The sequence below is a fragment of the Homo sapiens genome, chromosome 1, assembly GCF_000001405.40.
Source record: "Homo sapiens chromosome 1, GRCh38.p14 Primary Assembly".
Taxonomy (NCBI): domain Eukaryota; kingdom Metazoa; phylum Chordata; class Mammalia; order Primates; family Hominidae; genus Homo; species Homo sapiens.
Window position 1 is genome coordinate 88932810 of NC_000001.11, and position 12715 is coordinate 88945524.

Consider the following 12715-nt stretch of genomic DNA (forward strand, 5'->3'; position numbering starts at 1 on the left):
TATTTAAAAAAATGGAACAACACCCTGATTCTCTGGATTAAGCTATCATCCTTATAATAAGTCCTTGAAGTCCTATGTTACTTCTCTGATGTAATACCTACTACTCTCCCCCTTGGTTATTCCATCCAATCACACCAGACTTTGAGTTACTCATCAAAAATGCCAGGCACCCTCCTGTCTTTGAAGTATTGCACTGTCTATTCCTTCTGCTGGGAATGTTCTCCCCAAGATCTGCACAAGGCTGTCTCCCTTCCCTCCTTTAAATCTGCTTCCATGTCCCCTCCATAAGACCTTTTCTGACCACACTACTGTAATTTCAATTTGCTTCTGTAACAGTCATCCCCCTTTATTCTGCTCTAGTTCTTTTCTTCATACAATTAGGTATAAATTTACATACAATATATTTTATTATGTTTATGACTTAATCTCCCTCCCCTGGCTAGATGAAAAGCCTAGAGGACAGGAATCTTTAATTTTTGTTCACTGATGTAGTAAGTGCCTACAAGAGTGCCTGGCACATAGTAGGAGTTCAAGTGATACTTATGGAAGGAAGGAGGAGAAGAAGGAAAAAGGGAAAAGAGAGGAGGGAGGGAAAAAATAGGGGAAGGAGGGAGGCAGACAGGGAAGAAGTAAAGAAGATAGGAACAAAGGAAAGAAGGAAGGGAGGGAGGAGGAGGAGAGAGAGGAAAGATAGAAAGAATTTTGCCCTGAATAGGAAGACATAGCAGGTTAGTAGATAGACTCAATCAGTGAAAGAATTTTCTAAGATGGGAGAGATTTGAACATATCCCACTTCTGAAGAAGGGAACCAGTAGAGATTGAAGGTCCAAGAGCATAGACTGAGCCAATTCTGAGAGTGTGTGAGGAAATAAGATCCAGAGCACAGGCAGTGGAAGTAGCATTAGACAAGTCCAGGGCTGCAAAAAGCTGCTTTAAATTCTGCTGAAAATTTTGTCAAGTTCCCAGCAAGGGTGGACAGGCTAAACATTTGCCATGGGATTTCTGTTGCTACAGAATTGTTGGCTCTTGGGGTCCTGAGCTTCCTTCTAGATGGCTGGGCCTGGTAATTTTTAACCAAGTCCTCCTTACTCTACTGCCACCCCTAACCTGTCGGCCTTGGACAAGTCAAAGGATGAATGACCATTATAACTGGAGGGAAGGAAGGATGGATGATGATGCAGACAAGTCACAGGCTTATTGGTACGATCCTAGTTGGAAGTGCTGGTTTGGTAGCTTGTTTTTTCATTATATTTTTCACAGAAGTGGGGTTGAAGTTATTTGCTATGATTTAATCATGCTACTGTGGTAGGCTTTGAGGTGAGAATGGAGGTAGCATATTTTTGTTATTAAAAATAGGAGAATCAGCTGGGTGCGGTGGCTCATGCCTATAATTCCAGCACTTTGGGAGGCTGAGGCGGGCGGATCACTTGAGGCCAGGAGTTTGAGACCAGGCTGGCCAACATGGTGAAACCTGTCTCTACTAAAAATACAAAAATTAGCTAGGTGTGGTGGCGCACACTTGTAATCCTAGCTACTTGGATGGCTGAGGCATGAGAATTGCTTGAACCTGGGGGGCAGAGGTTGCGGTGAGCTGAGATTACGGCACTGCCTCCCAGCCTTGGCGATAGAGTGAGACTCCATCTCAAAACAAAACATAAATATAGGAGAATGGTAGGAATTGCTGCTGTGGTAAAAGGTAGGGGAACATAGACTTATGTCTAGTTCGTGTCAGTGACGTGAATTCATGGTTGCTAGAACCTGCCCAACTGTGCAATGTACAGCCCAGGTACAGGCATGGAGCTCCAACCCCAGGGTTGAGTTCTTTCTTTTTGATCAGCTGAGATAGAACAATGGTGCAAATAATTCAAGGCAGCAAAAGCAACTTGTCTGAAGTGATAGACAATGAAGTCAAGGCTAGATGAGAAAGGGAGTGAAGATTTAAGGGAGCCGATAGAAATAAAATGGAGGATTCTACAAACTACAACAGTAATGATCAAACTTTCATGTGTGTAAGTATCACCTGGAGGGCTACATCCTGAAATTATTATTCACCAGGTCTGGGGTGATGACCAGAATCTCTGTCTTCAACAAGGATCTTAGTAGATTCTAATGAAAGAAGGTCATAGACCATTTTTTTGTGAAATAGTGGATTTGAAATTGTAGTAAGTTTAAAGAAGTGATTTTTTTTTTTTTTTTTTTTTTGAGATGGAGTTTCACTCTGTTGCCCAGGCTGGAGTGCAGTGGCACAATCTTGGCTCACTGTAGCCTCTATCTCCCAGGTTCGAGCAATTCTCCTGCCTCAGCCTCCCAAGTAGCTGGGATTACAGGAATACGCCACCACGCCCAGCCAATTTTTTTTTTTTTTGTATTTTTAGTAGACATGGGGCTTCACCATGTTGGCCAGCCTGGTCTCAAACTCCTGAATTCAAGTGATCCACCCGCCTCGGCCTCCCAAAGTGCTGGGATTACAGGCATGAGCCACTGCACCTGGCTAAGAAGTGATATTTTGAAAAGAGCTGAGGAGAAGGAGATGGAGGAGAGAGAGAGACAGAGAGAGAGAGAGAGAGAAAAAAAAAAGGGAGAGCATGTGCACAAGACAGCAACAATGAGCTGGAAGAATAGGTCATTATAGTGGGAGATGATGAATTTGTGATCTCAAAAGGTGAAGCCGACTTGAATCATAAAAGCCTCAGGGAGCGACCAAGGCAGCGGTGGCTGAAGTGCAGTGGAGGTGAACATCACCAGAGGTGAGGATGTCAAAGTATGGAAAGCCTGGCTAATCTATGTGGACCTGAAGCCACCGCAAATAACAGCAGTACTTGGGGTATGAAGCAAAACTGTGAACAGAGTTCAAGGCCATTGGTAAATGAAGGGGAGGAACTACAGGTGGGTACACAAAACAAATAGATGTGGTTGAGGGGTGGAACTGGTTAGGAGTTTTTACACAATGGTGGAAACATGAAACCGGCTAAAGTCAGATGAGTGTTTATTGTTTGCCAGGCTTTTTGCATACATTAGTCCATTTAATTCTCAGAAACGACCTTCATATGAAACAGGTACTGATTTTATTCCTATTTTATAATGAGAGAACCGAGTTACTGAGAGGTTAAACATCTCACATTTCTTATCCACTATGTTATGCTGACTCTTATAAAATGATTGTGGAAGGTGTGTTAATACATTTCAACTGGAAAAAAAAGGTCAGATCCCCCGAAAATGTTGTTAGGAGTTGGGTTAACTGCTTTGGAAAAACAATGGAAATATTTAAATTCCAGTTGTACTGAAATACCTTTTAACATCCAGCAGGTGGCAGCACTAAGTAACAATTCCATACTAGGTCATCTAACAGAAACATTAATCCATTCTGCACAAATCAAGACTTCTGTACACTCCATGCCTTGATGATTTCTTCAGCAGCATCCAGTGTGCTGTCTTTCTGTAAATTAATGAAATAATCATCATTATTACAGATATACATAAATTCAAGATGAAGCAAAGATTTAAATATACAACATAATGAAGATTTAAGTGAATATCTGATCTCAAGTGAAGAAAAATTTTCAAAGTGAAAAAGCAAAAGCAGAACCCAAAACAGGAAAACAGTTAACCAAATGAATTATAATTACAGAAACAGGTCAAAGGGTACAGAAGAGTTTACACTGAAAAATAATAGCTGTCTGCTCCACCCCTTCTTCACCCTTCCTATGACTCCCTCTACCTTCAAGATAACCTTTTATGGCAATTTCTGGATTTAGTTCTAATGGCTACCACCAAAATCTAATAATGTGCTTATGCTTCTATTTCCTTATTTGTGAACTTCACATATTATCTACTATATCTATACTTTGCTCTGAACAAAAAAAAATTAGTTCATTCACACTACTCTGCCCCTTGCTTTCAAGGTTTCATAGTTGTAATTATTGAAAAATAGTTTATTTTTTGAATAGGTGATTCATACATATAGCATAAAATTAAACAGAGGTGTAAGCAGAGAAAATCCAGCCTTCTGTTGTTCATCTTCTGTTTCTCTACTTCTTTTTCTTTGTCTTCTCTCTCCATCAGAATGATTCAGTCTGAAAGCCAATAGGTGAGGCTGAGCAAAGCGGCTGTCCATGTATAGGGCTGGGAGAGCCTTGGCAACCCTAGTGCAGGACACTGCAGCCAGAGTGGAGTGAGCAGGCTGGTCAGCATGGGTGTCATGAGGTGATAGTGCTGGCTGGAACAGGATGTCAGAGTCTGAGTGGGGTAAGTGAGGCACCTGTATGGTAGGGTGGCCTCATGCAGGGTCCTGGAGCCTGGATGAGATGAGGCAGGCATCTGGCATGGTGTCAGTGCCCAAGAGGGGCAAGGAGGGCTTCTGTGTAGTAGGTGACAGTGGTGGCCTGGTATGGGGTATTGGAGACCTAGATGGGGGCACCTCTCCAGGAGGATGACAGGACAGGTCGGCATGGGTGATAAAGCCCAGGTCGGGTGAAGATGTAGTGTAGCAGCCTGGCACAAAATGTCAAAGCCTGAACCGGGAAAAGGGTATTCTCTCAGGGACTGGGAAGGTGAGGGATGCACAGTGGCTTTGACAGGAGATTGATCCCATACAGAAGTATTGATTAAATTAGTAGTTACATGACTAGTGGCCAAATCTGGGAAAATCTAAGTATCAAAATAAGTAATAATAATAATAAATTATAGCCCACTGTACTACAAAATAAAAATCCAGAAGTCCACATTGATACATATGAATAAGTTAATAAATAAATTGCTTAATGAGATATGGAATATTTTCATAGTACCTTACTACAAAATATTTACTATTTAACAAGAAAAAGTATAACTTTATAGTAGAAAAGACTGGCAAACACCACCTTAATCAGGTGGTTAAAGTTAACATCACTGGTAATAGGAATAAATGAAATCATGTGCCACCTGATACAATGAAAAGGATAGAGTATCATCACTTCTGTGGTTTCCTGCCGAAGTGCATAGCCTGAGTCTAAGCATGAGGAAACATCAAACTTAAATTGAGGTACTTTCTTAAAAATAATTCATTGATAATTTTCAAAAGTATCAAGATCATGAAAGTCAAAGAAAACTGAGAAACCATTCTAGCTTGAAGGAGACATGACAACTAAATGCAATGCATGATTCTAGCCTGAATTAATTAATTATTATAAAAAGGACATTATTGGGACAATGAATGACATTTAAATCAGATCTGAGGATTAGATGGAGTATCAAGGTTAACTTCATGATTTTGAGGGTTATATTGTGGTTTGGGAGGAGAATGTCTTGTTTATGAAGAATACACAAGAAAGTATATGGGGGTGATCGGAGCATCCTCAGTAATTAAGTTGACAACTTACTCTGAAATAGTTTAGAAAAAAGTTCTTGAAACTTTTAGGTTGAGAGCATTTAAAAATATTTGTTTTAAAGTAAGTCAGCTTCCCACCTATCTTCCTCAGCCACTCAGTTTTTCTCTCCAGAGACAACACTGGGATTTCATTATATATTTTTCCAGAGATTTTCATCCATCTTTCTTTTTAAAATTGTATATTTTTTATTGTTCTTGTTTATTTATTTTTAACTTTTATTTTAGGTTTGGGGGTACATGTGAAGATTTGTTACATAGGTAGACTCATGTCACAGGGGTTTGTTGTACAGATCATTTCATCACCCAGGTATTAAGAGCACAGCACCCAACAGTTATCTTTTCTGCTCTTCTCCCTCCTCCCACCCTCCACCCTCAAGGAGGCCCCAGTGTCTGTTGTTCCCTTCTTTGTGTTCATGAGTTCTCATTATTTTTGGCTCCACTTATAAGAGAGAACATGTGATATTTGGTTTTCTGTTCCTGTGTTAGTTTGCCAAGGATAATAGGCTCCAGCTCCACCCATGTTCCTGCAAAAGACATGACTTCATTCTTTTTTATGGCTGCATAGTAGTCCATGGTGTATATGTACCACATTTTCTTTATCCAATGACAGCATTGATGGGCATTTAGGTTGATCTGAATGTAGCATCATTTATTCAAGCAGCCCCCACTGGTGAATAATTTTGTTGTTTACAATATTTTGCTATTACAAATGATGCCTCAGTGAAAATCCTTGAATATAAGTCATTCGAAATGTGCAAATAAATCCACAAGAAAACACTTGTAGAGGTAGAATTGTTGGATCAAAGGGTATGGGAAATCACATCTGAACAGAAATTTTCAAACTAACCACCATAGAGATTTTACAAATTATACTCCCACTCTCAATTTGTGAGAGTGTTTTATGAAACTTTTAGTTGTTTTGGTTGTTTCCAATCTAAGAGATAAAATTTCTTTGCAGTTCTATTTTTCATTTCCCTTACTATGAAATAAGTTTGACAACTTTTATAAGTTTAACAACTACTAAGGATCTTACCCATAATATTATAAAGTGCTATTTTTGCCTTAAATTTATTTACTTTTATCACTTTTATTTTGCTCTGAATTCAAACTGCTTTCTTTCAATTTCTATTTTCTTGGTATGTTTTTGTCATTCTTTGATTTTTAGTCTTTCTAAGAGGTGGAGTTAGGTGTGTCCACTTTCCCTAGAAACTTCCAGCTACTTCCACACTATCTGCCAATATTGACTGCTGATGTAAGAAGAGTCTGGGTCCATACTGATCCTCCTCTTCTGGCCCCTCTGGAGGCCTTGATCTTACTGTCTAGGTGACCAAAGGAATTGTCTTTGAAGCCCAATATATCAAGCGAGGTATATCTCAGTGTTAATAATTGTGTGACAATTATTATTATATGCAGGTTCCATTTGTTCTGCTCTTATTTTTTTCTGGCAACTCCACATATTTTATTTTTCCTCTGCATCAATAATTTTTCTGCCTAATATTTTAAAAATTATTTGTTCCTTTCTACTTCCTTTTGCTCACTTATCTCCATCCTTAATGTCCTTACAGAAGTATTTAGTGTTCTTTGTGGTGTTTCTATTAATAATGTCACCATAATTTCCAATAGCTTTATTTTTTCTTTTCAATTTCCTACCTGAACTCTGATAGCTCCCATTTGATCTTCTTATAATATCTTACTCTATCTTCCCTGAATTCGTAAAATCTCTGCTTTCTCATTTTAAAGGTTTTAAATCTGAAATAGCACTAATTTTATTTGCTCCATGGCAACATTTTTTTTGGGCGAATATTCTCTAACACTTGTTTTTCCTTGTACCTTTCTCTTTTCCTTATACTGTCCTATATAGATTCACAGTTGGTTCCTCTTTTATTATTATTATTATTGTTATTATATTTTTTGAGACAGAGTCTGACTCCATCACCCAGGCTGGAGTGCAGTGGAGCAATCTCAGCTCATTGCAACCTCTGCCTCCTGGGTTCAAGTGATTCTCATGCCTCAGCCTCCCAAGTAACTGAGATTACAGGCATGTGCCACCATACCCACCTCAATTTTTTGTATTTTTAGTAGAGATGGGGTTTCACCATGTTGGCCAGGCTGGTTGTGAACTGCTGACCTCAAGTGATCCTCCTGCCTCGGCCTCCCAAAGTAATGGGATTACAGGTGTGAGCCACCGCACCTGGCCCCTCCTCTTTGATTATTAATCATTTTTGATTGAATTCTTTGTTTTCCACTGCCAAAGCATGCACTATACCTATTGTTCTGAGTAATAAGCATGCTACCTGCTGGCTTTGTCTGTGATTTGAAGATAGATTTGCTGATTTGTATAAGGGAGAAGCTGGGGCAGCACCAGAAAAGAGCAGAAATTCTCCTTGTCTCATAGTAAAATTTAATACAGTTGATGTAGGGTTCAGTGGGTGGGAGTTCTTTTAGACCACAGTTCTTACCAAATAATTAAATTGGCTATCCCCAGTTTAATACATCTCTTCCGCATTGCTTCAACATAGCTTTTAGCAAAATGACAGGAGTAAATGAGGAAATCTATAGACCAACCAGAGTCTCCTTTCCACCTTGCCTTACATAGTTTCCAGATGACATGACTGTATGTTTTTGCCGTTTCCTCCATCATGCCAAACGGTCTAGAGAAGTTCCTGCTGCCAGTGCAGCGACTGCTCCTACTGTTCTCAATAATGAGTATGCTGCCTGCTGGCTTTGTCTGTAATTTGAAGATGTAAAAGCAGGATCCTTTCTAGGGATCTTCCCTCTACCATCACCTTCACAGTATTTAGCAGCCTTTCCTTAAACACTGGGGAATTTGTTTTCTATTCTCTTAGTTGTTTTTAAATAATTTCTAAAAAGAGATTAGGGGAGGGCTGGGTTTACCATTTTAAAACTGGAAGTCCTACGTTACTTCTTTCTTCTGTTAGTTTTGTTTACAATTTCAAATAATATACCACTATTTCTCAATCCAGTGTAAGATGAAGGATATTAATAGCATTACCGTTCTTTAAAATTTCAGTCAATTGAATGTTTACATTGTTAGGTTGTTAATATTTATATTCTATTCTGAGCAAGTCTGGCTATCGGTTGTCTCTGAAAGTTGAAAACAGTGTTTATGTTATTCTCATTAGGTTTAAAGATGAGTGAGTTGATAGAGTGTCTTGATCTCAGTAAGACTATTTTCAGTACCAACAACATTTTGAAAACAGCAGTAACACACTTGGAACCTTTTAAAAAAGGAGAAGTTTGATAGTGATAAATCTCTCAGCTTTCATTTGTCAGGGATATCTACTTCATTTTCATTTTTAAAGGCTATTTTCCTAGATATAGCATTCTAGGCTGTTATTTTTTTTTTTTTATGTCAGTGCTCAGATGATGTTATTTCATTGTATTCTGGTCTCCGCTGTTTCTGATAAGAAGTTAGTTAACATTTCTACCTGGACGTGCTGGGCTCATGTGATCCTTGTACCATAAACTCCTGAATAGTGAGTACCTCAGGCATGTGCCAGCAAGCCTGGCTAATTAAAAATATTTTTTTATAAAGACAGGATCTCACTATGTTTCCCAGGCTGGTCTTGAACTCCTGGACTCAAGCAATCCTCCCGCCTTGGTCTCCCAACATGTTGGGACTATAGGCATGAGCCACTACACCTGACCTCTGGCTGCCTTTAATATCTTATCTTCACTTTTGTTTTCAGCAGTTTATGATGTACCTAATTGTGCTTTTAAAATATTTATCCTGTTGTATTTCATTGACCTTTTTAGACATAAGTTGCTTTTCACCAAATATGGGAACATTTTGACTATTATTCCTTAAAATATTTTTTCTGTCATATTCTCTCTCTTTTTTTTCTTGGTTCTCCAATGACACATATATTATCACTTGGTATTGTCTCATAGACCTGAGGTTCTGTTCACTCTTTAAAAATAATATTTCTCCTTTTTTCAGATTGGATAATTTCTATTAATCTGTATTCAAGTTAACCCTTTTTTTCTGACATCTTCAGTACTCTCTTAGCACCATAAGTATTTCATAGCAGATATTAGACTTTTAAGTTCTTGAATCTCCATTTGGTTCTTTTTTTTTTTAATAGTTTGAACCTCTCTGTTCACTTATTATTACCACGTTTTCATCTAATTTCTTAAACATACTTCAAATGTTTGCTTTAAAGTCCTTGTCTGCTAATTTCTAGATCTGGGTCACCTTTAGGCCTATTTCTATTAACTTCTTTTTTTCTTTGCTACAGGTCATATTTTCTTGTGTTTTCTTATGTCTAGTAATTTTTCATTGTAAGCTAGAAATTGTCATATTACATGGTAAGGGGTCTGTATTATGTTGTCTTCTTTCAAAAAGTGTTGAATTTTATTTTGGTAAGCAGTTAATTTTTTTTTTTGAGACGGAGTCGCGCTCTGTTGCCCAGGCTGGAGTGCAGTGGTGCGATCTCGGCTCACTGCAAGCTCTTCCTCGCGGGTTCACGCCATTCTCCTGCCTCAGCCTCCCTAGTAGCTGGGACTACAAGTGCCCGCCACCATGCCCAGTTAATTTTTTGTATTTTTAGTAGAGACGGGGTTTCACTGTGTTATCCAGGATGATCTTGATCTCCTGACCTCGTGATCAGCCCGCCTCGGCCTCCCAAAGTGCTGCGATTACAGGCATGAGCCACCACGCCCAGCCAGTAAGCAGTTAATTTTAAAGCCGTAAGCCAAAATTTAAAAACTGCATATGAGCATATCATTTTTAGAAACAGAAGAAAATAGTACTTTAAAAATTGAAATGAAGATACTATATATGTGTTTTCAATAGAGCAGGGAACTTACTTTAATGAAGCAAAAACGCACAAACTTCTCAAACTGTGATTTAGTCTCTGAGTTACAGAATGCTGAAACGGGGATGGCTGATAGTTTCTGAAAAATAAATAGAAACATATAATAAGAAAACTACTTACACTTCAAATATTAATTTTGGTACTACAGATACTAGAGGCAACTAGATACTTTTAAATAGTCACAATAATTTCCAAAAAGAAAAATGCTTTTAAAAGCCACAAGTGGAGTATCATATAACAACATTACATTTGATCGATTTCAAAGCATACCAGCAGATTTCCTTCAAAAATTAACTATAAAATATAACAGAATCTTGCAAAGAACAATAAACATTACCTTATGTTTAGTCATCCATTTCACAAACTTATAGTCATAAGGCTCATTATTCTTCATATCAGAGAGGTCTGGATCTAAAACCACAATGAAAATTAGGTGGCCTATGAATTTCATCTGATGCAACATGTATTTCATTTAAGTCTATCAAGATTCAACATTTTCTCCTATTTAAATTAGCTTGGTTTAGAATTTTCTCAGAACATAGTCACAGAATATGCTGGAGTCTCACACTGTACGGTGGGGTGGGAAGTGAATTCACAGAGCTTTACTGATAGTCTAAGGCAGTACTCACATATACATCAGGGTGATTAGGCTTATACGTGCAGCTTTCAGCACAGGAAGAGAGTAGAAAAGGTGAAGGGCAGAGGAGGGATGCCTTTCCATTGAGAAATAAGACTCTATGATCATTACTAAGGAAATAACTGCTAAATTTTTAAGTATTCATCAGTAAGATTATATCTCCACATAGCCACTCATTCGACTATAAGTTCCACAAAAGTAAAGTGTCTGTTTGGTAACCTATCGTATTCCCAACCCCTAGGTCAGTGTCTAGCACATAAGTGACAAAAAGTATATTTGTTGAATGGATAAATTAATATTATGCATTATTTATAAATACAGGATATCTGTTTAGATCTTCCAAATGCTACTCTTATTTTTCATCTCTTGCTCCCATATATTATACCTTTTTTTAAATTTGTGAAAAAGTCAAATATATACTCCTGTTTGCTCTTGCCTCAATTTTGCTTTAAGGTCTGGGCAAGATATATCTCTGGCATTCAGTTTCAGCAATCCACATTTCATATTGTTTCAACTTTATTGACTTGTACTCTTTGATCTTCTTGAATGCCCTAAAGCAACTAATATTGATGGTTATCGTCATCCAGGAAATTTTATAATTTATTGCTGAAAACAAATTGAGGCAGATATCTTACTTCTTTCTTCTATACATTAAATACTAGTGGTTCTTTTCAAATTAATCATGTAAAACCTTTGACACTGAAGAAAGGTTCACCTGTATTTTTAAAACAAAGCCCTAATATCCTTTTACCTGATATTTTAATCTCCATTCTCCCCTGTGTTTTAAGGAGAACATAAAATTTCCAAGTAATAATGCCAACAACAAACTGCAATTTATTGAACACTTCTTATTGGTTAAGCATGTTACATGATCATCTCATTTAGTTGTTACCACAATTCTGAGAGGTAATGATAATCCTCTGTTTACAGATAAGGAAGTTAAATTATTATTTCAAGGTATTTATATGTAATTCAGGTTTGGCCCTAACAAAAATACCAGCTAAAAAACTTAGTCTAATTGTAAATTATGTAAAAATTCCATGTGACAGGTATACAACAGCAGTGTATTGAAGGTACACAGGTAGGCAGAGAAAGGAGTGAATACCTAAGGGAGTAGAAGAGGATTATTGACTAATTCTAATTGACACTGTACTACTCATTTATTCTTGTAGAGCTTAGACAAAAGGAATTTATTTATTTATTTATTTTTTGAGATGGAGTTTCTCTCTCGTTACCCAGGCTGGAGTACAATGGCACGATCTCGGCTCACTGCAACCTCCACTTCCCCGGTTCAAGCAATTATCCTGCCTTAGCCTCCTGAGTAGCTAGGATTACAGGTATGCGCCACCACACCTGGCTAATCTTTGTATTTTTAGTAGAGGTGGAATTTCACCATGTTGGTCAGGCTGGTCTCAAACTCCTGACCTTAAGTGATACACCCGCCTCGGCCTCCCAAAGTGCTGGGATTACAGGCCTGAGCCATGGTACCCTGCCAGAAAAAAGTAACGTAATACCATGATGTTGAAAAAGGAAAGAAGGGAATAAATATAATTATAAAGGTTTTTTAGTCAGAAGGAATTTGGAATCTATTTCTTTTGACATGCCTCAGCCAGACATCCTCAAGGGAACTAAAGTCTTTCTTTATTGACAGTAAGAGTTTAAATCAAATGTGTGAGCATATCTAAGTAATCTATGAAGGCCCAAATTTGTTTTTGCATTCTTACTATCTCCTCCATAATTTTGGATCCTATTATTTCACTAGAAAAACTGTAATAATCTCATTTGAAATCTTGTCTTCTAATTACTGGATTCAGAGGCCAGCTTTGATACTTATTAGTTGATTAACTTCAGTAAATTACTTGATTCTCTATCTCC

The 12715-nt window shown here is 37.9% G+C and overlaps 1 protein-coding gene across 9 annotated transcripts in view; it reads right to left on the bottom strand.

Annotated features, from left to right (window-relative positions):
- Positions 1–12715, bottom strand: part of KYAT3 (kynurenine aminotransferase 3) — a 71917-nt gene that overhangs the window by 11766 nt on the left and 47436 nt on the right. For 4 of the 9 annotated variants that reach the window (NM_001349447.1, NM_001349448.1, NM_001349449.1 and 1 more), the window contains 3 exons: positions 10541–10614; positions 10196–10282; positions 2964–3436 (listed from right to left, as the gene is read on the bottom strand). In NM_001349447.1, the coding sequence (NP_001336376.1) occupies positions 3374–3436; positions 10196–10282; positions 10541–10614 (224 nt within the window). In that variant the 3' untranslated portion in view covers positions 2964–3373. Of the gene's footprint in view, positions 1–2963; positions 3437–10195; positions 10283–10540; positions 10615–12715 lie in introns of those variants that run through there. The other 5 variants (NR_146184.2, NM_001008662.3, NM_001008661.3 and 2 more) reach the window with 2 other exon arrangements.